The 25,135-nt window shown below is 42.9% G+C and overlaps 1 protein-coding gene and 1 pseudogene across 18 annotated transcripts in view, besides 5 other annotated features; one reads left to right on the top strand and one right to left on the bottom strand.

The window, feature by feature from the left end:
- RPF2P1 (ribosome production factor 2 homolog pseudogene 1) lies at positions 4,125-5,081 on the bottom strand (annotated as a pseudogene).
- Positions 15,014-15,699: an enhancer, noted in NCBI's record as "NANOG-H3K27ac-H3K4me1 hESC enhancer chr20:34330085-34330770 (GRCh37/hg19 assembly coordinates)". NCBI's record gives its function as "activates a minimal SCP1, AML or CMV promoter by ChIP-STARR-seq in primed H9 embryonic stem cells {active_cell/tissue: H9 hESC(primed)}" and the evidence as "EXISTENCE:reporter gene assay evidence [ECO:0000049][PMID:30033119]".
- Positions 15,163-15,262: an enhancer, noted in NCBI's record as "active region_17797". NCBI's record gives its function as "activates an Ori minimal core promoter by ATAC-STARR-seq in GM12878 lymphoblastoid cells {active_cell/tissue: GM12878}" and the evidence as "EXISTENCE:reporter gene assay evidence [ECO:0000049][PMID:35858748]".
- Positions 15,433-15,652: an enhancer, noted in NCBI's record as "active region_17796". NCBI's record gives its function as "activates an Ori minimal core promoter by ATAC-STARR-seq in GM12878 lymphoblastoid cells {active_cell/tissue: GM12878}" and the evidence as "EXISTENCE:reporter gene assay evidence [ECO:0000049][PMID:35858748]".
- The window catches only part of RBM39 (RNA binding motif protein 39), a 40,914-nt gene continuing 31,380 nt past the window's right edge, over positions 15,602-25,135 (top strand). For 9 of the 18 annotated variants that reach the window (XM_017028138.3, NM_001242600.2, NM_001242599.2 and 6 more), the window contains exons 1-3: positions 15,602-15,921; positions 16,975-17,038; positions 18,845-18,894. In XM_017028138.3, the coding sequence (XP_016883627.1) occupies positions 16,988-17,038; positions 18,845-18,894 (101 nt within the window). In that variant the 5' untranslated portion in view covers positions 15,602-15,921; positions 16,975-16,987. Of the gene's footprint in view, positions 15,922-16,969; positions 17,039-17,264; positions 18,895-22,780; positions 23,050-23,604; positions 23,677-25,135 lie in introns of those variants that run through there. The other 9 variants (NR_040724.2, NR_040722.2, NR_136587.2 and 6 more) reach the window with 8 other exon arrangements.
- Positions 15,713-15,862: an enhancer, noted in NCBI's record as "active region_17795". NCBI's record gives its function as "activates an Ori minimal core promoter by ATAC-STARR-seq in GM12878 lymphoblastoid cells {active_cell/tissue: GM12878}" and the evidence as "EXISTENCE:reporter gene assay evidence [ECO:0000049][PMID:35858748]".
- Positions 16,123-16,222: a silencer, noted in NCBI's record as "silent region_12863". NCBI's record gives its function as "represses an Ori minimal core promoter by ATAC-STARR-seq in GM12878 lymphoblastoid cells {active_cell/tissue: GM12878}" and the evidence as "EXISTENCE:reporter gene assay evidence [ECO:0000049][PMID:35858748]".

The following is a 25,135-nucleotide window of genomic DNA, read 5'->3' as shown; positions in this document are numbered from 1 at the left end:
TTTAACTGAGAGTTTAAGTAAACTGTGCAGAATTACATTATGTAATTGAATGGATTAGAACCCATGTTTGTTCCTTCTTGCTCTATACCTACTCTTCTCTATTATAATTGGTAGGCAATTTTTTTGGATCAGAGTTAATTTGAGTAAAGAAGTTTCAGTATAACTGTAGGACAACAAAGAGATGTGAGTAGGCATATGAGTGTGACTGGGCATATAATTATAAAAACAAACGCCTATTGGCTTTTCAAGAAAGACATTATGAATTAACTGGATGGATAATTTTAACTGAGGATAATGGAAAAGACACATTAGAAGGCAGCACTTGAACTGGACCTTGAAGGATAAATAACAATCCTTATATATTAGTCAAGGTCCTGTAAGGAGGTAGAAATCACATGGCATTTGGACAGAGACAGTGTAACTTAGTGGATTGTTAACTAAGTAACTGAAGAAGTAAAAGGCGAAACCTAAAGTTTCATGGTGGTAGTAACTGTAGGAACAGCTACCACCCCTAGGGCTGAGGGAACAAAAGGAAGAGGTTGGAGTTATTAAAACATAGAAATTTAGAGGGGGAGTGGCCAAACACAGCCGACACTCAGACCTCTGAGGAGGAGGTATTGATTGACAGGTGCTCGTGTCTCTGAACTCAGAGGAAGAACCCCAAGGGGTAGAAACCAGACTTGTGAGTATGGGGCATTGGGCAGCCAGGTGCTGGTATCTCTGAAGAAGAGGCAATGAGACTAGTTCTGTAAGTGTTGAAAAAACTGCTGGGCATGGAGGTTCATATCTGTAATCAGCACTTTGGGAGGCCAAGGTGGGAGGATTGCTTGTGCCCACGAGTTCAAGATCAGGCTGGGCAACAAAGTGAGGCCCCATGTCTATAAAAATAAAAATTAGGCCAGGCGTGTGGCTTACGCCTGTAATCCCAACACTTTGGGAGGCTGAGGCGGGGGGATCACGAGGTCAGGAGTTCGAGACCAGCCTGACCAACATAGTAAAAACCCGTTTCTACTAAAAATACAAAAATTAGCCGGGTGTGGTGGTGTGTACCTGTAATCCCAGCTACTGGAGGGGCTGAGGCAAAAGAATCGCTTGAACCCGGGGGGCAAAGGTTGCAGTGAGTCGAGATCTAACCACTGCACTCCAGCCAGGGTGACAGAGCAAGACTCCATCTAAACAACCACAACAACAACAAACCAGACTCACCTTCCCTGGCTTAGAAGGTATTACATGGTTGGGCTCTTCCTAAGCATCTTTGCTATAGCCACATGGTCTTCCTGTAGTCCTTAAAGACACCATGCTTCATTCTGCTGCAAGGCTATTGCACAGTCTATTATTTGCCAGGAATATTCTTTACCTGTTATACGCTGCTCCTCAAATCTTACTTTTTTTTTTTTGTTTTTTTTTTTTTTTTTTTGAGATCAGCCCATCTCAGCCTCCCAAGGTGCTGGGATTACCGGTGTGAGCCACCGAGCTTGGCCCAAATCTTCCTCTTATTTGCTCTTATAGCACCATAAATGTCTCTTATAGCAATTGTCACAGTTGTGCATCTTCATTTATTTATATAGTCTTTTTTTTTCTTTTTTTTTTGAGTCTCGCTCTGTCTACGAGGCTGGAGTGCAGTGGCATGATCTCAGCTCACTGCAACCTCCACCACCTGGATTCAAGGGATTCTCCTTCCTCAGCTTCCTGAGTAGCTGGGAATATAGATATGTGTCACCATGCTCAGCTAATTTTTTTGTATTTTTAGTGGAGACAGGGTTTTGCCATGTTGGCCAGGCTGGTCTTGAACTCCTGACCTCAGGTGATCCACCTGGCTCATCCTTCCAAAGTGTTGGGATTACAGGCCTGAGCCACTGTGCTTAGCCCTATTCATATAGTCTTTTGATCAATGCCTGCCTCTTCCAAGAAGGTTTGTTAGCTCCAGGAGGGCAGGGGCCATGACTGTTTTTTGCACTCCATTGTTTGTTTTACCAGTGCCTAGTTTAGTGACTGGCACATAGTAGACTGCCACACATATACATATAGAATATATGGCTGGGCATGGGGGCTCATGCCTGTAATCCCAGCACTTTGGGAGGCCAAGGCGGGTGGATCACAAGGTCAGGCGTTGAAGACCAGCCTGGCCAAGATGGTGAAACCCATTTCTACTAAAAATACAAAAAAATTAGCTGGGCGTGGTGGTGGGGGCTTGTAATCTCAGCTACTCAGGAGGCTGAAGCAGAGAATTGCTTGAACCCAGGAGGCAGAGGTTGCAGTGAGCCCAGATTGCACCACTGCACTCCAGCCTGGGCGACAGATTGAGACTCCGTCTCAATTAAAAAATATATATATATGTATATATATAAAATACATATGTAGTAAATATATATAATATATATGCGTAAATATACATATATTCATGTATATGTATATTCATGTATATGTATATACATATATTCATGTATATGTATATTCATGTATATGTATATACATATATATGTGTGTGTATATATATATATATATATATATATATATATATATATATGGAATTACTTCAATATTCTGCAAGTGCAGAATGTAGCCATGACATGAGAAGAGGTGGGTATTTGAAAGCAGGGATTTGGGTGGGCACAGTGGCTCATGCCTGTAATCCCAGCACTTTGGGAGGCTGAGGTGGGCGGATCACTTGAGGTCAGGAGTTCAAGACCAGCCTGGCCAACATGGTGAAACCCGTCTCTACTAAAAATAGAAAACAATTAGCTGGACGTGGTGACTCGTGCCTGTAATCCTAGCTACTCGGGCTGCTGAGGCAGAAGAACGGCTTGAGCCCAGGAGGCGGGGGTTGCAGTGAGCCGAGATCGCGCCACTGTACTCCAGCCTGGGCGACAGAGCAAGACTCTGTCTCAAAAAAAAAAAAAAAGAAGAAGAAGAAGAAAGCAGGGATTTGAGTCTCTTTTGGTTTTTTTGTGTGTGGGTTTTTTTTTTTTTCTTTGAGATGCAGTCTTGCTCTGTCACTCAGGCTGGAGTACAGTGGCACGATCTTGGCTCACTGCAACCTCTGCCTCCAGGGTTCAAGGGATTCTCCTGTCTCAGCCTCCCGAGTAGCTGGGACTACAGGCACGCGCCACCACACCTAATTTTTGTATTTTTAGTAGAGACGGGGTTTCACCATACTGGCCAGGCTGGTCTCAAACTCCTGACCTCATGATCTGCCCACCTCTGCCTCCCAAAGTGTTTGGATGACAGGCGTGAGCTATTGCGCCTGGCTGAGGGTTTTCATTTCATTGATCATCCAGCATCTCGCTCTTGATTCTAGAGGTTCTGAGAAGGTCCCTTGTTTCTTTCCTTTTTTTAAAATATCTTTCTTTTTTTTTTTTCCTTAGGAGACAGGGTCTTAATCTGCTGCCCAGGGTGAAATGCAGCAGTGCCATCATAGCTGACTGCCACCTCAAACTTTTGGGTTCCAGCAATCCTCCCACTTCGTCCTCCCATGTAGCTGGGACTACAGGTGCATGTCACCATGCCCTGCTAGGTTTTTTTGTTTTTGTTTTTGTTTTTGTTTTAAGATAGGGTCAAGGCCAGGAGAGGTAGCTTACCCCTGTAATCCTAGCACTTTAGGCAGCCAAGGTAGGCAGATTGTTTGAGCCCAAGAGTTTGAAACCAGCCTTGGCAACACAGAAAAACCCTATCTCTACCAAAAAAGACATGAAGATTAGCTGGGCATGGTGGCATACACCTGTCATCCCAGCCACACCTGGGAGGATTGCTTATACCCAGGAGGCAGAGTTGCAGTGAGATCAATCATACCAGGCCACTGCAATCTAGCCTGGGTGACAGAGCAAGACCCTTGTCTCAAAACCACAACAACAACAACAAGTAAAAAAAGATAGGGTTCCTCTCTGTTGCTCAGGCTGGCCTTGAGAACTCCTAATTTCAAGCCATCCTCCCCCTTGGCCTCCCAAAGTATTGGGATTACAGGCATGAACCACTGCACCCAGTCTATTCTCTTTTTATTGAGATAAGATTCACATAAAATAAAATTAACCATTAATCATATTAAAGTGTTCAATTCTTGGCATTTACATCCACAATGTTGTGCAACCTTCTCCAATGTCTAGTTCTGGTAAATTCTTTTTTTTTTTTTCCATAATTTCTTTTAAATTCTTTTTGACTTTTTCTCCTGGTCTTCTGTTATCCTTTCTGCAGGTCACTTCTTCAACCCCTTCATTTTCCTGGTTTGTAGTTTGCTTATCTTCGTTCTACATATGAATCCTTCCATAAGTTGTACCAAAAGTATCATTGGAGATATTTTTCTTCTTCTTTGGCTTGAGAGCTTTTGGCATTTTCATAGATAATGTATAAAGGTCATCGGATGCCAGGTGTGTCCTCCTCAGAACCAGATTCAATGAGGGTCCTATCTCTTCCAATTCAATCCGTGGTGTTCTGCAACCAGATTTCTTCAACAGCAACTTATATCTTCGAAAGTAAATCTTCCCATTCAGTGCAGTGAAGTGCAGAACATATTCTAATCCAGCCAGGCAGATATTTGATACTGTGGGGCCTCTGAAGAAATCAGTAAGAAGACTTTTTAGTCTTCTGTAATCTTCTGTTACATTGAAATCATCACCAGCAAATATTAGCATGGGTTTTGTTCCCTCAGGACATTTACTGTTCTTAATGTCTTTTAGAGAGACAAAATTCTCAATACCTAATTCAATCATATCCAGCACATGGTAGTCATACATATGACCTATTACTAGATTATTTGGCCGCTTCTTATTATAGGAGCCAAACATGAATAAAGAACAATCTGACTTCTTTGAAAGTAATTCCAGTGATGTCTGATCCTCAAAAGGTCTTGTAACATTTTTCTTTTTATACAGTACACCGTATGGTTTTTTCAGTGCACACACATCTTTAAGTACTTGTGTCACTGTTGCGTTTGCATTTCCCCCTTTAATCAGCATTGCATTTTTAATATTTTCATTGAGTTTTGGTTCTCTCTTCTCAAGGAATCTCTTGACTCTTTTCATTTTGGGCTTTACAACTCGATCCAGAGCATCTATCGCTACCACTACCTGGAACTCTTAACTAGGTGGATCTAGTTCTGGTAAATTCTTATTACCCCAACAGGAAACCTTATAGCCATTAAGTAGTCACCCCACATTCCTCCTTCCCTCCAGCTCCTGGCAAAGACCAATCTGGTTTCTTTTTTTTTTTTTTGAGACGGAGTCTCTCTCTGTCACCCAGGCTGGAGTGCAGTGGTGCTATGTCGGCTCACTGCAACCTCTGCCTCCCGGGTTCAAGAGATTCTCCTACCTCAGCCTCCTGAGTAGCTAGGATTATAGGCACCTGCCACCACGCCCGACTAATTTTTTGTATTTTTAGTAGAGATGGGGTTTCACCGTGTTAACCAGGATGGTCTTGATCTCCTGACCTCCTGATCTGCCCACCTCAGCCCCCCAGAGTGCTGGGATTACAGGAGTGAGCCACTGCACCCGGCCTACCAATCTGATTTCTGACTCTATGGATTTATCTACTCTGGATGTTTCATATAAATGGTTTCAAGCAATACGTGACCTTTTGTGTCTGGCTTCTTTCACTTAGCATAGTGTTTTCAAGGTTCATCTACATTATAGCATGTATCAGTATTTCGTTTTTATGGCGGAATAATATTCCATTGTCTGAATATACTACATTTTGTTTATCCATTCATCAGTTGGTAGGCATTTGGGTTGTTTTCATTTTTTGGCTATGGTGAGCAGTGCGGCTATGAACACTTGTGTATGAGTAATTATTTGACTGTCTGTTTTTTTGTTTTGAGATGGAGTCTTGCTCTGTCTCCCAGGCTGGAGTGCAGTGGTGTGATCTTGGCTCACTGCAACCTCCACCTCCTAGGTTCAAGTGATCCTCCCACCTCAGCCTCCGAAGTAGCTGGGATTATAGACGCTACCATGCCTGGCTAATTTTTGTATTTTTGGTAGAGACAGGGTTTCACCTTGTTGATCAGGCTGGTCTCGAACTCCTTTCAAGTGATCTGCCCGCCTTAGCCTCCCAAAGTGCTGGGATTACAGGTATGAACCACTGTGCCCAGCCAAATGTCTGTTCTAAATTATTTTGTTATGCCTAGGAATGTATTTGCTGGGTCATAGAGTAACTCCATGTTTAACTTTTTGAGTAACTGCCAAACTGTTCTCTATAGCAGCTATATCATTAATATGTAAACATTGATACCAATAAACTATAAGGGTTCCAATTTCTCCACATTCTTACCAAAATCCCATGTTGGTTTTTTGTGTTTGTTTGTTTGTTTTGAGATGGAGTCTCACTCTGTTGCCCAGACTAGAGTGCAGTGGCGCAATCTCCACCCACTGCAACCTCCTCCTCCTGGGTTCAAGCAGTTCTCCTGCCTCAGCCTCCCGAGTAGCTGGGATTACAGGTGCACACAACCTCGCCTGGCTAATTTTTGTATTTTTAGTAGAGATGGGGTTTCACCATGTTGGTCAGGCTGGTCTTGAACTCCTGACCTCGTGATCCCCCCACCTCAGCCTCTCAAAGTGTTGGGATTACAGGCTTGAGCCACTGCGCCCGGCATCCCTTGCTCCTTTACAACAATAGCATACAATTCATGTCTATGATGCACATATTCCAACTCTGATGTTTCATTTATATATTGAGATGGCATCTGGTTATTTATTTCACTTATTTTAGAGATGGAGTCTCACTGTGTTTCCCAGGCTGTACATGAATTCCGGGGCTCAAGAAGTCCTCCCACCTCAGCCTCCTGAGTAGCTGAGATTACAGGTTCCTGCCACCTAGGTAGGCTAGGGAGCTGGTTATTTAGAGATGTTTGGGCAAGATGTATGTCTGTAGACCTCTTACAGAAAATGACTGTTAAGAACCTATTTTTTTCAGACCCCAAAAGAATGAGTTTATTAGCTACATCCTTTCAGAGATGCTGTGTCTTTCTGGGCTATTCATTGTACAAGGTCATTCATTCATATCATGAAATCACATGCCTTTCATTCAAAACCACTATTGAGTTGATGCTTCTTTTGTTTGCCATCCTTCATTTTCAAGGTATATCTCCATCATGTGATGCCTTGTCAGCAGAATCTTCCTCTCTATTGCTAGATTTGCTTAATTCCTAAATCTTTTGCAATGCTGTGCCCGACTGCATTATTTTTGCTTCTGTTAGCAGATGTTTTTAAACAATACTCTGCCTCCTAATTTGCAATGGTTTATCCATTTCTCCGGTTGTCAAATCAGGATATTTTGGGACAAAATATACTGCTTTCTCTGACCCTCTGTGCCTGTGTCTGCTATTTCTTTACTTAATAAAGTTAACAGAACATTACCCGATTTGTAAGCATTTGTCAGAACTAATCTATTGGTACATTTAAGATTTGTGTGTTTTGCCATATGTAAATATTATGTCATTTAAAAATATTGTGAACACTATTAAACTCTAGTTAAGATTAAAAAAAAAACTCTAGTTAAGATTATGCAATGCTGAAGTGTTTAGAAATAAAGTATACTGATGTCTGCAATTTGCTTTGAAAAGCACACAGAAATTAGGTTGGATGAATGGATGGACAAAGGGATAGATGAATATGTGATATAGCAAACATTGAAAAATGTTAAACGTAAAATAGATGGTGGGCATCTGTACTATTCTCTCAACCTCTGTTTGAGAATATTCATAATAAAATGTTGGAAAAAAATCTCCCTAACTGCTCTGATAAAATACATAAATCAGCTACTTTCAGAAGCAGATTCTGTGATCACTTCCATTATAGTCTGATCATTTCAATGTATTTCATTCAAGGAAATAAACAAGGCTGGGAGCGGTGGCTCACGCCTGTAATCCCAGCACTTTGAGAGGCCGAGGCAGGCGGATCACCTGAGGCCAGGAGTTCGAGACCAGCCTGGCCAACATGGTGAAACCCCGTCTCTACTAAAAATACAAAAATTAGCCAGGCATGGTGGCATGCACCTGTAATCCCAGCTATTTGGGAGGCTGAGGCAGGAGAATCCCTTGAACCCAGGAGGTTGCAGTGAGTGAAGATCGCACCACTGCCCTCCAGCCTGGGCAAAAGAGCAAAACTCTGGCTCAAAAAAAAAAAAAAAAAAAAAAAGGAAATAAACTGATATAGAGGAATAAATGGGATTTTTATATAGAAAAAGGTTTATAATGTGTGAAGTGTTATGTAAATATGCTATTATTAATACTATTAGCCAGGTTAGGTGGCTCACACCTATAATCCCGGCATTTTGGGAGGCTGAGGTGGGATGATTGCTTCAGACCAGGAATTCAAGACCAGGCTGGGCAACACAGAGAGATCCTGTCTCTATGAAAGAAAAAAAATAGCCAGGTGTAGTGGCGTGTGCCTGTAGTCCTAGCTACTTGGTAGGTTGAGGTGGGATGATCTCTTGAGCCCAGGTGTTTGAGGCTGCAATGAACTATGATCATGCCACCAAACAATGCCTGCTGGGCGACACTGCCAGACTCCATCTTTTTTCTCAGACAGGGTCTTGCTATGATGACCAGGGTGGTCTCAAACTCCTGGGTTCAAGTGATCCTCTGCCTTGGCCTCCCAAAGTGGTGGCATTATAGGTGTGAGCCACCGTGCCTGGCCGAGACCCTGACTTTTGATGTTTAAAGCATTGAGTTTATGCAAAATCTTATTAGTACAATGCAAAACAGTATCTTGAATATGGTTTTACATTCCTTCAGGTGTTCTCAATAAACTGGAAACCCTTGAAGGAAAAAGGATTATCCTTTTGATTAGCTGTGGGCTCGCAAATTTTCTTTTTTTTTTCTTTTGTTTTTTTGAATTGGAGTCTCGCACCATCGCCTGGACTGGAGTGCAGTGATGCGATCTCGGCTCACTGCAACCTCTGCCTCCCAGGTTCAAGGGATTCAGCCTCCTAAATAGCTGGGATTACAGGTGCCCGCCAGCACGCCCAGGTAATTTTTTGTATTTTTAGTAGAGATAGGTTTTCACTATGTTGGCCAGGCTAGTCTCCAACGCCTGACCTCATGATCCACCTGCCTCAGCCTTCCAAAGTCCTGGGAATGCAGGCATCAGCCACGGCACCTGGCCACAAATTGTCTTAATGAGTATTTCACCTACCTAATGTACTAAATAAACACTGAATGAATCAGTAAACAGTATATTTCACTGATAAGCTCTAAATGAGTGTTGTAAATTACATTTTTTTTTTTTTTGAGACAGGGTCTTGCTCTGTCACCCAGGCTGGAGTGCAGTGGCATGACCTCGGCTCATTGCAAGCTCCACGTCCCGGGTTCACGCCATTCTCCTGTCTCAGCCTCCCAAGTAGCTGGGACTACAGGCACTCGCCACCATGCCTGGCTAATTTTTTTGAATTTTTGGTAGAGACAAGGTTTCACTGTGTTAGCCAGGATGGTCTCGATCTCCTGACCTTGTTATCCGCCCATCTCGGCCTCCCAAAGTGCTGGGATTACAGGCGTGAGCCACCGCGCCCGGCCGTAAATTACATTTTATGTTACCGTGTATTGAATCTTTTTGCTTTTATTTTTAATCTAAAGTAGCATTTTGGGCAATCCTTTTGGCCATGGAATGGACACATGGGCTATTATGAGTGCCCCTTAATTTTTTTCATTGCCGTAACTATGATGAGTTCAAAACATTTTACTTTTTTGACCAAAGATGAAACTCTGACAGAAAGCATCAGTTATTTCCCTATCTAGTTCACATCGGATCTAACGAAATTATCTTGAGTTTGAGGACAGGATTTTTGACAGTGATCCCAAGCAAAGTTAATGTGGTATCAACCTCAAGTAAGTGGCCAGGGATGTACCCTTGAAAGATTTCTTCTTTTTTTTTTGAGACAGTCTCCCACTGTCGCCCGAGCTGGAGTGCAATGGCGCAATCTCGGCTCACTGCAACCTCCAACTCCCGGGTTCAAGTGATTCTCCTGCCTCAGCCTCCCGAGAAGCTGGGATGACAGGCGCCCGCCACCACACCCTGCTAATTTTTTGTATTTTTAGTAGAGACGGGATTTCATCATGTTGGTCAGGCTGGTCTCAAACTCCTGACCTCAGGTGATCTGCCCACCTTGGCCTCCCAAAGTGCTGGGATTACAGGTTTGAGCCACCACGCCCGGCCTAGATTTCTTCTTAAAAACTAATCATTCTGCCAGGCACGGCGACTCACACCTGTAATCCCAGCACTTTAGGAGGCCAAGGAGGGCTGATCACTTGAGGCCAGGAGTTTGAGACCAGCTGGGTCGACATGGCAAAACCCCATATGCACTAACAATACAAAAATTACCTGGGCCCACTTGGTCGAAATCCCAGCTACTCAGGAGGCTGAGACATGAGAATTGCTTGAATCCAGGAGGTGGAGGTTGCTGTGAGCTGAGATCTTGCCACTGCACTGCAGCGTGGGCAACAGAGTGAGACTATTTCAAAAAAACAAAAAACCAAGCTGGGTGTGGTGGCTCACGCCTGTAATACCAGCACTTTGGGAGGCCAAAGTGGGCGGATCACCTGAGGTCAGGAGTTCAAGATCAGCCTGGTCAACATGGTGAAACCCCGTCTCTACTAAAAATACAAATATTAGCCGGGAGTGGTGGCGCATACCTATGGTCCCGCTGCTTTGGGAGGCTAAGGCAGGAGAATCACTTGAACCTGGGAGAAGGAGACTGAAGTAAGCTGAGATCAAGCCACTGCACTCCACTCCAGCTTGGGTGGATTGAGTGAGTATCCGTCTCAAAAAAAACAAGCAACAGGCCGGGCATGTTGGCTCATGCCTGTAATCCCAGCACTTTCGGAGGCCAAGGTGGGTGGATCACCTGAGATCAGGAATTCAAAAACAGCCTGGCCAACATGGTGAAACCCCATCTCTACAAAAAAATTAGCCAGGCATGGTGGCAGGTGCCCGTAATCCCAGCTACTTAGGAGGCTGAGGCAGGAGAATCGCTTGAACCCAGGAGGCGGAGGTTGCAGTGAGCCAAGGTTGCGCTACAGCACTCCAGCCTGGGCAACAGAGCGAGACTCCATCTCAAAAAAAAAAAAAAAAAACCTAATGATTCACTTCGGGAAGCTAAGCCAAGAGTTTGAGCCTGCAGTAAACCATGTAAACCATAACTAAGTCTCTGCACTCCAAGCAGCCTGGGAGATGGTGCAAGACTGTCTCAAAAAACATGATTCACAAATTTAAGTTAAAACCTTTGGATATGTCACTAGAATACCCTTGACATTGTGCCAATAGACAGGCAAGTATTTAAAACAATTCAATCAGTCAGTAGATTGATGAGATAATCAAGTGCAGAAGGAACCTGGGTGGGGAGATACAATTTCATCTGCCTAAATCAGGCAAAGGTCACATGAGTGTTAAAATTAATTACATCTATATGAAATGGGCTTAAGTTTCCCATTGTCCTAGTGATATGGGGAAAAAAAAAGGGTCAGGCATGCTGGCTCACGCCTGTAATCCCAGCACTTAAGGAGGCATAGAGGAGAGGATCCCTTGAGCCAGGAGTTGGGGACCAGCCTGGACAACATGGCAAAAACCCAACTCTACAAAAAATACTAAAATTACCTGGGCCTGGTGGCATGTGCTTGTAGTCCCAGCTACTTGGGAGGCTGAGATGGGAGGATCTCTTGAGCTCAGGAGGTCAAGGCTGCAGTAAGCTGTGATTTTGCCGCTGTACTCTAGCATGGGTGACAAAGTGACACTGTTTCAAGAAAGAAAAAGGCCGGGCGAGGTGGCTCACGCCTATAATCCCAGCACTTTGGGAGGCCGAGGCAGGCAATTCCCTTGAGGTCAGGAGTTCGAGACCAGCCTGGGTAACATGATGAAACCCCATCTCTACCAAAAATACAAAAAATTAGCCGGGTGTGGTGGCATGCTCCTGTAATCCCAGCTACTTGGGAGGCTGACGCAGGAGAATTGCTTGAACCTGGGAGGCGGAGGTTGCAGTGAGCTGAGATTGTGCCATTGCACTCCAACTTGGGCGACAGAGCGAGACTCCATCTCGAAAAAAAAAAAAATATATATATATACATATATATACACACATGCACACACACACACACACACATATATATATATAGAGAGAGAGAGAGAGCGTGAGCCAAGAACGCGCCATTGCACTCCAGCCTGGGCAACAAGAGTGAAACTCTGTCTCAAAAAAAAAAAAAAAGAAAAGAAATGTTAAATGCTTGAGGTGATGGATTACCCCAATTACTCTGATTTGATTATTACACATAATATGCCTTTATCAAAACATCACATTTGAAGCCCAAATCTCTACAAAAAAAAATTTTTTTTTTGAGAAAGAGTTTCGCTCTTGTTGCCCAGGCTGGAGTGCAATGGCGTGATCTCGGCTCACTGCAACCTCCGCCTCTCAGGTTCAAGTGATTCTCCTGCCCCAGCCTCCCAAATAGATGGGATTACAGGCATGCGCCACCACGCCTGGCTAATTTTGTATTTTTAGTAGAGACGGGGTTTCTTTATGTTGGTCAGCCTGGTTGCAAACCCTCAATCTCAGGTGATCCACCTATCTCGGCCTCCCAAAGTGCTGGGATTATAGGAGTAAGTCATCACACCCAGCCCAAAAAATTTTTAAAAAATTAAGCTGGGCATGGTGATGTGCACTTGTTTTTCTAGCTAATTGGGAGGCTGAGCTGGGAGGATTGCTTGAGCCCAGGAATGCAAGGTTACAGTAATCTATGATGTTGCCACTGCACTTCAGCCTGTGGGACAGTGTGAGACCCTGTCTCAATTAAAAAACGAAACAATTCTACTTGCTGTAGATTGTTGGGGACAAAAAACAAAACAAAACCAAACCACATGTATCTGATAAACATATACATTTAAAATGTACCCTTAATAATTAAAAAATTAAAAATCCACATTGGTAAAATACATTTAGTTTTCAGCCAAATTCTCTAAGTATATTCATTACCTTTTTGGCTCTATTTCAAGCTCTATTCCTCCATCTTTTGAAAGCAAAATGATGAAAGGGGAATTAATTTACATAGAAAGTTCATGAACCAGAGTTAGTGAAGTTTTGTAAAGTGAATGAGAAGCATCTTATGTTCGTGATATTTTCTTTTGTGTTAAGAGACAGGGTCTTGCTCTGCAGCCCAGGCTGGGGTGAAGTGGCACGTGATTCTAGCTGACTGCAGTCTTGAAGTCCTGGGCCCAAGCTATCCTCCCATCTCAGCCTCCTGAGTAGTTGGAACTACAGACATGCATCACCACGTCTGGCTAATTTTAAATTTTTTGTAGAGACAGGGTCTTGCTATATTGTCCAGGCTGGTCTCAAACTCCTGGACTCAAGCAATCCTCCTGCCTTGGCCTCTCAAAGTGCTGGGATAACAGGCCATGAGCCGCCATGCCTGGGGATATTTTCTTTTAAACATAAAAAATACTTGTTTCAGAAACTTGATTTTTCCAAACGGCTTTTCTTGATGATCTGCTAAGTTGCCATATTGCCTCTGATGGTCCTTGAGCAGAAAACTATTTAAGGGACCTTAAATCATCAAGCGACTTAGAGCTTAAATCCTTCCTCTTCCCAAACAAGAAGTCTAGCGGTTAAGGTCAAATTCTGTCATGTCATGTTCCTAAACAAACAAGAAAAACCAAGTGCCATCTTCATGCTTTCATTTTGCACTAGTCATAATACTGGAATTACCGAGGGGCAGGAAGAGATAGCAAAGGTTAGCTTGCTTTATTTCTGACATATTATGCTTCAATTTCCTGTGACAGTTTTCTTTTCTTTCTTTTTCTTTCTTTTTTTTTTGAGATGGAGTCTCGATCTCTGTCACCCAGGCTGGAGTGCAATGGCATGATCTCAGCTCACTGCAACCTCTGCCTCCCAGGTTCAAGTGATTCTCCTGCCTCAGCCTCCCGAGTAGCTGGGAATTGCAGGCGCCTGCCACCTAGTTTTTTTTTTATTTTTAGTAGAGACAGGGTTTCGCCATGTTGGTCAGGTCTTGAACTCCTGACCTCAGGCGGTCCACCCGCGTCGGCCTCCCAAAGTGCTGGGATTAGATGCATGAGCCACTGCGCCCAGCCTCCAGAGCGAGACTGTCTCAGAAATAAAATAAAAAGAGGATCTGAATTTTCAGAAAAAGGATTAAGGGAGTATTCTAACTACAAAATAACTGTTATTAATAATCCTCTAAGATAAATCCTAACCTGTGTGTAAAGTTAACCTGAGAGGCAAAACCACTTAACATCTATATTTGCTCTAAATAATTTTGTTTAGCAGAAACAGAAGTTAGCTGTTTTGAAGATCAAATATTTACCAGGCGTTTTACAGACATTATATCATTTAATCTTCACTATAGCCCTTCTGAGCCTTCATTCATTAATTTACTGAGGGTCCACTTGGGCAGACATGCCCTGCTAACCTCTAAAAATTCAGTACTGAGCATTACCTGCCTTCCTCAGTCTCAAGTAGCTTAGACTAGCTACTAAGTACGTCCTCTTTTAAATCAGGAAATGAAAGATCCCCTCTGAGAGGTTAATTTGCTTGTCCAAGGTCACACAGTGTTGCAGCAGCTAGTTACACTAATCAAGGCGTCTCATTTCCAATCTTTTCTGCCCTCAATCATTAGACTGTTAAGATTAGAGGGTAAGATTTTTGCTTTGAAGACTTCTTTCCAGTTTTTTTTCCCAGCATCTAGGAGGAAACCTCACACAGTACTGACCAAAGAACAAATGGCTAATTCATACTCTAATTACCTGGCATCTAGAAGACTTCAGGGGAGAGGAGCCAGGTCCCAGGGGGAAGGGGGCCTTTTTTTTTTTGTTGGGGGGGTGTCTTATTTTTTCACCAAATCGTCCAGTAATATTCAGGAAGGGGAACATTTTTGAAGGAACGGTAGCAACCCTGACACAAGAGCTGATTAAATTCGGGGCACAAAACTGATCCCATGCCAAGGGAAGCAAGAGTTTATTTTTTCCACCTTTTTTTTGCTTTTCTCCACTATTTCCAAGGTTGTTTCAAAGCTCGACAGTGGAGGCCGCGCCATTGGCTCCAAATGACAGGGAAATCTATTTTTATTATCTCCCCCTCTCCCCCTACCCCTAAAGATCTCTTCTTCTGGCCTTCTGATACACTTTTCCACTTCCTCTCCACCCTCAGCGGATAATCTGAATATGGCCGTTTTATCCTATCGCCATAAGGACTAGGTTGCCTTATGGCGACCTTGACAGCCATCTGTGTGGGAGGCCGGAGCGGGGGCGATCGGCTGTGCCGGAGGAATCTTCAGATGGCCGTGAGGAGGCGCCACGAGGGGGAGGTGACCGCTGAGCTCCACTCAGCGAAGAGCTCTCTGAAAGATTGACAGGCAGCCTACCAACTGTCTTTGCCCTAGAGACCCGCTCTGTCTCGCGAGATTTGGGTGCTTACGCGGAGGGGGAGTGAAAGGCGCCTCACTGAATGGGGGATGGGAATATCTGTGGCGCAATCATTGCGCGAGATTGGGCTACGGTCGCCGGAGCCATACTTAGGTCTCGCGATACTTCGGCCGCTCAAATTTGGAGCTTGGGGCAGCTTCTCGCGAGAGCCCGTGCTGAGGGCTCTGTGAGGCCCCGTGTGTTTGTGTGTGTGTATGTGTGCTGGTGAATGTGAGTACAGGGAAGCAGCGGCCGCCATTTCAGGGAGCTTGTCGACGCTGTCGCAGGGGTGGATCCTGAGCTGCCGAAGCCGCCGTCCTGCTCTCCCGCGTGGGCTTCTCTAATTCCATTGTTTTTTTTAGATTCTCTCGGGCCTAGCCGTCCTTGGAACCCGATATTCGGGCTGGGCGGTTCCGCGGCCTGGGCCTAGGGGCTTAACAGTAGCAACAGAAGCGGCGGCGGCGGCAGCAGCAGCAGCAGCAGCAGCAATCTCTTCCCGAACACGAGCACCACAGGCGCCCGAAGGCCGGAACAGGTACGGGGCGTTGCGGACCCGCGTATTATCTCAGCTTTCTCGAGGTTTGGCTCCATTTTGGGCTGAGGGGCGCTTTTGGAGGTCTTTAGCGACCGGGGTGGGGGGTGGTTTTCGAGAAATCGGCCCTGTTTCAGTGACCGCGCCCTTATTTTCCAGTCGGGTATAGTCTGGATTCTTGGGGCGGTAGGGACCCCCGAGAGGCCGCGGTAGAATGGTGACCTGTCTCCTTCGAGGCCTGGGCCGGCCGCGACCTCCCAACATGGCGCCAGTTGAACGCTGCCTTGGCTCATAACCCCTCCCAATGGAGGGAGTTTCTCTTTGCCCCTAAAATGGCAGCGCGGGTTTTTGCCCGGAAAGAGGCGCTCTCGTTCGGGTCTCCCAGTTTCTGTTTTTGGAGTTGACAGCAGAGTTTTAAATATTGGATATTGAAGTCTTCATTTTCGTGTGTTTCGTGTAAGAGGCGTTTTGGATTTACTTACGTAAGCCAAACCTGGTTAAAGTGCATGTCACTTTAGTCATTAATTGTAGGGCTTTTGGAGGTTTTTCTTAAGTTTTCGAGTGTGTCGGCTGAGAAGAAAAATTCAGTCGATTTGAAAAACGTTTACCAGGCCGGGCGCGGTGGCTCACGCCTGTAATCCCAGCAGTTTGGGAGGCAGAGGCAGGCGGATCACTTGAGGTTAGGAGTTCGAGACCAACCTCATCAACATGGTGAAACCCCGTCTCTACCAAAAATACAAAAATTAGCCGGGCGTGGTGGCAGGCGCCTGTGATCCCAGCTATTCGGGAGGTGAGGTGGTAGGATCGCTGGAACCTGGGAGGCGGAGCTTGCAGTGAGCCGAGATCGCGCTACTGCACTTCAGCCTGGGCAACTAGAGCGAAACTCCGTCTCAAAAAAAAAAAAAAAAAAAAAGAAAAATGTTTACTCACGGAATCGTCTTGTTCTTTTCCTAGGCGTTTAGAGAAAATGTTAGACGATATAGGCAACAAGAGTGAAACTTGTTTCACATTGTAAGAGAAATGTTTACTCAAGAAATTGTCTTGTTCTCTTCCTAGGCGTTTAGAGAAAATGGCAGACGATATTGATATTGAAGCAATGCTTGAGGCTCCTTACAAGAAGGTGAGAAAAAACATGTCGGTGAGGTTTATATATTTCTTAATTTAGCATTATTCACGAAACTACTGCTGAAATGTAAACTAACCTCCCCGGAGCCCTCTTGATTTATCTTATCAGAGATGCATTACGTGTAACTTACAAAAGTAAATATATGCTATTGATGTAATAATATTGTGCAGTAGTTTCACTTCAGCGTGATGAATAAATGCCCATCTATCTCTCTTTGTAGACTTGCCTAACGATATCTCACCTCTACTCCCATGAATTCACCTTTGATTCCAGTGTGAACTGTCAATCATAAGGTAGTAATTGAGTGACTTATCGCTGTACCGTGGTCCCCTAGGTAAAATGACTCAACTAAGAATTACCACCTCCAGTTTGGTATAGCAAAAAGGTGAATGTAGTGGTTTGGGAAAAAGCAGGGGTCCAAGAATAACAAAGCATGACCAGTCTGTGGCAAGTTAAATCTTCTAACAGTCTTATAAGAAGAAATGGGTGAGATTTTAAAATTTATGTATCTATGTAAGACTGGTGATAGTAAATCTTAAAACAGTCCAGTGGCAATCTGCTGCTCAGTTAATAATTACTAAAATTCTTGGATCCCTGAATAGAAATTAAAAAAAAAAAATACAAGAGGCAGTAGAGTCAATACAAGCTTAATACAAGCTTAGAGTAAATACAAGCTTAGAGTCACTTGATGACTGTTTTACTGTTCTCCATATTGTTTTTATTTTTAATTAGGCCCTACCATAGTATTTCACACTAAAAACAAAGGAATTATATTGGCTAATATAGTCTTTGACTCATTTCGGTATCTCAGTAAAAGTAAACTGTCTTTTCATTGTTTCACCAGTTGGTGGTGAAAATAGCAGTATGCATGCATTATCACTGGTGTCACAAACTGTAAGCTTTGTAAGTTAGCACTTTACTCCTATAGCTGATGTAATCAAACTTTAAAATAAACATTTCACTAAACCTTTTAAAAATAATACATTTGTTTTGGATTGTATAGCACGACCATGTGGTACCAATTTGGATGAATTCTTGATAGATTTAAATAGTGTATGTAATTTTGTAATGCTTAGACTCTTGAAGAGCTACTTTCTGTTTTAATGTTAAGATTCTTGTGTCTTAGTTTTTTTTAACATGGATGTAATTCCATGTAAACAGGTATGGAAGTAGGAAATGTTTAGGCTGGACTTGGTGGATTATTAATTGACTTTCTTGGGTTCTTGGGAGTCAACATTACTAAAGCAGTGTGAATCCCTGTTTGCTTCAGGGCGAGATGTGTGACAGAGGTGGCATCAAGCTCTTACAGTCCCAACCCTCCAACGGAAATGGGCGAAGATCTCAGGAATGGCATCGGTCACAGGAAATCGATAGTGGCTGGCTGCTAGCATGGCCACTTGGGGCTTAGGCAGAAATAGAGCCATGGTACTGACCAAAGGGACCATAGCACATGGAATAAAACTCAAAACAGGACTTCATGTTTTATGGAAATTATATTTAACCACTTCAACATTGTAAATCTGGATAACTTTTAATATCTAAACTATATAAGAAAGTAAAATTTAACATGTTAATATGGAAAATTTTTTTATTTTTGTATCTTGATGACTTAAATGTAAGCAACAAAGTGGTTAAACACATACCCATCTAAATTTTTTTATAGCCTTCCATGTTAAACTATAAGTAAATAATTAGTTTTAAAATTGTTTTGTATTTTCTTATTCCTGTTCCCTTTACCCTTTGACAACTTGAAATGTTACCACTTCGTCCTCATGATGTTCTTCTATCAACCCTGCTTAGGATGAGAACAAGTTGAGCAGTGCCAACGGCCATGAAGAACGTAGCAAAAAGTGAGTTTTAAGAAGGGGCTTGGGGGAGGGTGGTGAGCTTTTTTGTGGTTTTAGACCTTAAGTTGTGTTCCTGTGGCTAAAGTATACAAAATTCTCTTCTGAAGCTTTTCTTTGCTGCTTTTAGAAAATTGGTTCTTTGCCTTTTGAGACAAACTCTTGGAGGAACTGTGGATTTTTTTGCTTAGATTTCAGAATATAGTTTCAGATACCTTCCCCTCCAAGTCCATCATGACAATCTGGTGACAAGTTCTGTATTAGAGGTTGTCTTGTTTTAAATTTGTTAACTTTGGTTTGATATTTGGTTATCTTACTGATAAAACTGTTATATATCCATTGATCTTAAAAGGTAGAAAGAGTTAAATTAGGTGATAACTAGGCCATGGAAAGTATTGTTTGCCCTAAAGTGCCGAAGGAGTCAAAGCTGTGAATTATTTCTGCAACTTGCTGCTCAGAGGCCCTTTTGGAAGTGATGGAACAGGTACTTAAGTACTTCTAAAGGTGGCTTTCATTATCTTAGGCCTTTTAAACTCTAGACTTAACAGGGTGGGGATTTTGGAAATTATGAATATATCTGTACACTTTATTTGGGTAAGATGAGTGACTCAATAGAACTCTGCTATAGACTAGTACAGAAAACAGTGTACGAAAAGTCTTAGGTAACAGATATGATGAGATCCACTTTTTTTTTTTCTTTTCTTGTGAGTCGGAGTCTTGCTCTGTAGCCCAGGCTGGAGCGCAGTGGCGCAGTCTGGGCTCACTGCAACCTCCGCCTCCTGGGTTCAAGTGATTCTTTGATTTTTTTTTTTTTCTTTGACATGGAGTCTGGCAGTGTCGCCCAGGCTGGGGTGCAGTGGTTCTATCACGGCTCACTGCAACCACTGCCTCCCAGATTCAAGTGATTCCCCTGCCTCAGCCTCCGATTAGCTGGGACTACAGGCGCGCGCCATCACGCCTGGCTAATTTTTTTTTTATTTTTAGTAGAGAGGGAGTTTCACCGTGTTAGCCAGAATGGTCTCCATCTCCTGACCTCTCATGATCCTCCTGCTGTGGCCTCCCAAAGTGTTGGGATTACAGGTGTGAGCCACCGCGCCTGGCCTTTTTTTTTTTTTTTTTTTTTTTGACACGGAGTCTTGCTCTGTTGCCCAGGCTGGAGTGCAGTGGTGTGATCTCTGCTCACTGCAAGCTCCGCCTCCTGGGTTCATGCTATTCTCCTGCCTCAGCCTCCCAGGTAGCAGGGACTACAGGCGCCTGCCACCATGCCTGGCTAATTTTTTGTAATTTTAGTAGAGACAGGGTTTCATTGTGTTAGCCAGAATTGACCTTGTGATCCGCCTGCCTTGGCCTCCAAAAGTGCTGGGATTACAGGTGTGAGCCACCGTGCCCAGCCTCTGTCTTTATTTTTTCTTTGAGACAGAGTTTCGTTTTTGTCACCCAGGCTGGAGCGCCATGACACGATCTCAGCTCACAGCAACCTCTGCCTCCTGGGTTCAGGCAGTTCTCCTGCCTCAGCCTCCCGAGTAGCTGGGATTACAGGTTCCTGCCACCACGCCTGGCTAATTTTTTTTTTTTTTTTTTTTTGAGATGGAGTTTCAGTCTGTTGCCCAGGCTGGAGTGCAGTGGCGCAGTCTTGGCTCACTGCAACCTCTGCCACCCGGGCTTAAGCGATTCTTCCGCCTCAGCCTCCCGAGCAGCTGGGATTACAGGTGCCTGCCACCGCACCTGGCTAATTTTTGTACTTTTGGTAGAGATGGGGATTCACCATCCTGGCCAGGCTGGTCTTCAACTCCTGACCTCGTGATCCACCTGCCTTGGCCTCCCAAAGTGCTGGGATTACAGGCGTGAGCCATCATGCCCAGCCAATTTTTGTGTTTTTAGTAGAGACAGGGTTTCACGATGTTGGCCAGGATGGTCTCCATCTCTTGACCTCATGATCCGCCCGCCTTGGCTTCCCAAAGTGCTGGGATTACAGGCGTGAGACATGGACCCAACTGAGACTCCGTCTTAAAAAAAAAGTCTGGGCTTGGCGTGGTGGCTCACACCTGTAATCCCAGCACTTTGGGAGGCTCAGGCGGGTGGATCACAAGGTCAGGAGATCGAGACCATCCTGGCCAACATGGTGAAACCCCGTCTCTACTAAAAATACAAAAATTAGCTGGGCGTGGTGGTGCACGCCTGTAGTCCCAGCTACTCTCGGGAGGCTGAGGCAGGAGAATCGCTTGAACCTGGGAGGCAGAGGTTGTAATGAGCTGAGATTATGCCATTGTACTCCAGCCTGGAGACAGAGCGAGACTCCGTCTCAAACAAACATAAAAATCTGTCATACTTACGACCTTATGTTAATGAAAAACGAGAGAAAAATAGCCATTTATTTGATTTCTTTTTGGCTCTTTTCCTCCTAAGATCCCTAAATGCTTCATAGTAAGTATGTCAGTCTTTCTCACTACAACTGTGTTAGGTAGGTTGATAAAATTTCATAAAACAGATGAGAAAATATATAATGTTATTCAGGGCTTGTTAAGCCACTATTTTTTTTTTTTGTAGTTCCCCTAAAATAATGTGGTAATGGATTAAAAATGATATAATTTGTAGAAAATGTGCTCCTTTTTTCTGGTATAAGCTTGGATGGGAGTCATTTATAGTTCCTCACCAATCACAAGAAATTGTGGGGATCAGGTTGGGTTTAGTCTTGATGTGGGATCTGATGCAACCAACCAGAGGTATGGTTTATGTCATCTGGTTTTAGACTTTCTGCCACAGTAATGGTTTCCTAATGTTTTTGTTTTGCAATTCTCTAATCAAAAGAAAACCCAGGAAGGTGTATCCATATAAATTGACATAAATTATCCAATTTAGGTGTCAGGCCGAGTGGCTAAAGATTTCGCTTCAAGTGCCAGAAGGATAAGAACGTACACTTTTGGGTACAGACCTTCGTTACTGTACCATTGTCTCATGTCGCTTTTTGCCACTAAGGTCATCTCCGGTGTCTACTTGTTTTTATCCTGTGTATAAGCTGATTAAGGCTACAAGCTTTTACAAGGAAGCTGAGCATCAAGTTCTCCATGTGTGATATTCGGTGGCCTTTGTCTAATGTAGAGAACCACAGGACTAAATAGGAGAATGGACAATTTTCTTTAACCATGAGATTGTCTAAGGGAAGATCCTTTCAAAACACTTTGGTAATCTTAAAATACTTTCCAGTCAGACTTCTCGTCAATTATAGGTGATAAATAAATGATTCCCTTGTTCAATCAGGACTCTTGATTTTCTGAAGGAACTTTATGTTTCAAATTAATTTTAAAGTTACCTGGAAGAAAATTTTTGTATTTAGGAATAGATATAAAACATACAGAACACTCTGCTTTAAACCTTTAGTACTAAATTAAATTTCTTAACCAAAGGAAAGTGCCGTGTTGCATTTTTCATTCTAAAACTTCATTGTCTTAAAAGCCACATTGAGCTATAGTTTGTTAGGTAGTAGAAAAATGGCATGTTCTGAGAAACAGTTGACTGAGTATAAATTTTTTTAATTGTATAATTCTGATTCTTAACATACACTTCATAGTATCCTAGAATAGTAAAAGGAACAAAGTTATTGTGACACAGACTGGTTGTCAACCTATTTTCTGAAGAGCTGTAAACCTGAGTTTTTGCATATGTCAAGGTATGCATCCTAAGTGCTTGAGCTTGCCCTCATGGGAATATTATTTGTTAAAGTAACCAGTTTTGCAAAGTCTAAATCAGCGTCCATTCCGTTAAGCTCTTTAGAGAATTACTCAATAAAAGATAACATTAAAATGACACAGTTGAAATATATTGGCTACTGTGGTGTGGATTATCTATAAATTTTGGAATAAATGACTTTTCTATTTTTTTTCTTATTTTCCAGAATACTTTGCATTAAAAATTTAGATCTTCTTACATGGAAGAGGTCAAATCCAGTTATAGCAAAACACCTTTACTGCAGAGGCCATATAACCAAAAAGTCCAAAGGCCCAGCCCAGTGGACCATTTACTTCAGTGATGTTCAGTACAAAATTTCACTGCCATTAAAGACTTTGGAAAGTCCCTTTTAAGTTGTAACAGGATTTGACTATTAGTGTGGATTTCGATAACCCTTCTTTAGTTAATGTAATAAATGCTCTTTGAAGCTGGAAATATACTGGTTTCTTGCACCCTTGTAGTTTTCTCTGGGCTTTTATGCAAAAGATTGTATTTTCTGAATGTCTTAGTATGTTGCTGTCTTTTTACCTGCCTGGGGTTGCCTTCAGATGTGGGTGAGGACTTGTTTACAAAAAGTCCTAGAAGACCTTAAGTTAAAATTAGCTCTCCAATTTTCAAGTGTTTTCTTTTGGCAGAATAAGTTTTGGGTCCTATGAGAGGTAAATAGGTTGGTTGCCTCTCTTGCTATAGCCCATCTAGAGCAGAACAAAAACTTTGTTTTTGAGGGGGATGGAGTTACTTTTTACCTTGTTCCCTAATTGAATATATTTAGGACTTTTGGTTTTAGAAATCTCAGAGTTCTATAGTTGGAATAGTGTCACAGAGATAGTGTTAGGTTTCTTAGGCAACAAAATTGGAGTGTTACCTATTGCCCATCTGGGCATGGCTTTGATGAGTTCTATATAAATAATGAGTGTAGCCTAATTTTCTGTCATGTGCTACCTAGCATATACATTTCTGACAGTCAGGTGGATTATCTTGAAATTTTAGACAAACTTTCTGCCTCCTTGGAAAGCTCTACATCTCCTTGTGATTGGAGTGTGGGTTTCAAGATTCCAGAAGGTGGGTGTCTTCATTTTCTATTTTCAATGCACTCTAAAGATGACCTGCTTACAGGTTCTCTGAGGCAGACCTCAGTTGCTCTTGTGATATGTAACTTTGCTTTGATAAGGAATAAACAATTACATATCCAGATAATGATACAGAATTGTCAAAATGTTTAATCATTAAGCCACTACAAATAGACATTTTCGTGGAATAAACTGATTTTGAAATGTCTTTCAATTTATATTGAAATATCTGAAGGCACCTCTAAAATTTGGGTGATGACACAGAGGTATAGATTATAAGATTTAATTATGAATGGGTGGTATACTGTGAAGACTACGGAAGTGAGCAGAAAGATATGTTTGGCTTTTTTGGTTTTTAGTTAGAGATTTTAAAAAGGTCTGTGAAGGTCAAGTTGATCATTGGTTTTGATTGCATCCCACAGGTTTCTATAAACTGGCTTAAAAATGGCATACTCCATTTTCTGGTGTATTCATTGTAACTTTAGGAAGTATTTGAAATGGTCACATTAAAGTCTAGGAATGTCAAATTGTATTTTAATGCGTTAGTTCTTTTTCTTTTTCTTTTTTTTTGGAGACAGTCTTGCTCTGTTGCTCAGGCTGGAGTACAGTGGCATGATTTCGGCTCACTCCAACCTCTGCCTCCCAGGTTCAAGCGATTCTCCTGCCTCAGCCTCCACAGTAGCTGGAACTACAGGCCTGTGCCACCACGACCCACTACTTCTTGCATTTTTTAGTAGAGATGGGTTTTCACCGTGTCGACTAGGCTGGTCTTGAACTCCTGACCTCAGGTGACCTGCCTTCCTCAGCCTCCCAAAGTGCTGAGATTACAGGTGTGAGCCACCGCACTTGGAGTTGGGTTTTTTTTTTTTTTTTTGAGATGGTGTTTTGCTCTTTTTGCCCAGGCTGGAGTGCAATGGCATGGTCTCAGCTTGCTGCAACCTCCACCTCCCGGGTTCAAGCAATTCTCTTGCTTCAGCCTCCCAAGTAGCTGTGATTACCGGCATGCACCATCAGGCCTGGCTAATTTTTGTATTTTTGGTAGAGAGGGGATTTCACCGTGTTGGCCGGGCTGGTCTCAAACTCCTGACCTCAAGTGATCTGCCTGCCTCGGCCTCCCAAAGGGTTGGGATTACAGGCGTGAGCCACTGCACTGGCCTGCATTAGTTCTTATTGTCCTTTGTCATTACGGTTTTGCCCATGAAAACCAAAATGTTGATGTCTATGTGACCCTTTGAACGTGTTAAATATTTCCATATGTAAATGGGGGCAAAATTGACTTAATGGTAAATTACTATATTTGATGAAAATTTTTATAAATGAACCAGTACTAGTACTTGAATGTGAAAATATTCTATTGTAAGTTTGTTTTATTAATTTATTTTGTGGATTACAGTAATGCTTTTGTTGGCCTGTTGTATGACAAACTATTTAAAGGTTCACATTTTGATTTG

Source organism: Homo sapiens, chromosome 20, assembly GCF_000001405.40.
Source record: "Homo sapiens chromosome 20, GRCh38.p14 Primary Assembly".
Classification (NCBI taxonomy): domain Eukaryota; kingdom Metazoa; phylum Chordata; class Mammalia; order Primates; family Hominidae; genus Homo; species Homo sapiens.
Note: the sequence above shows the minus strand (reverse complement) of the source record. Positions and strands in the feature narration are given on the sequence as shown.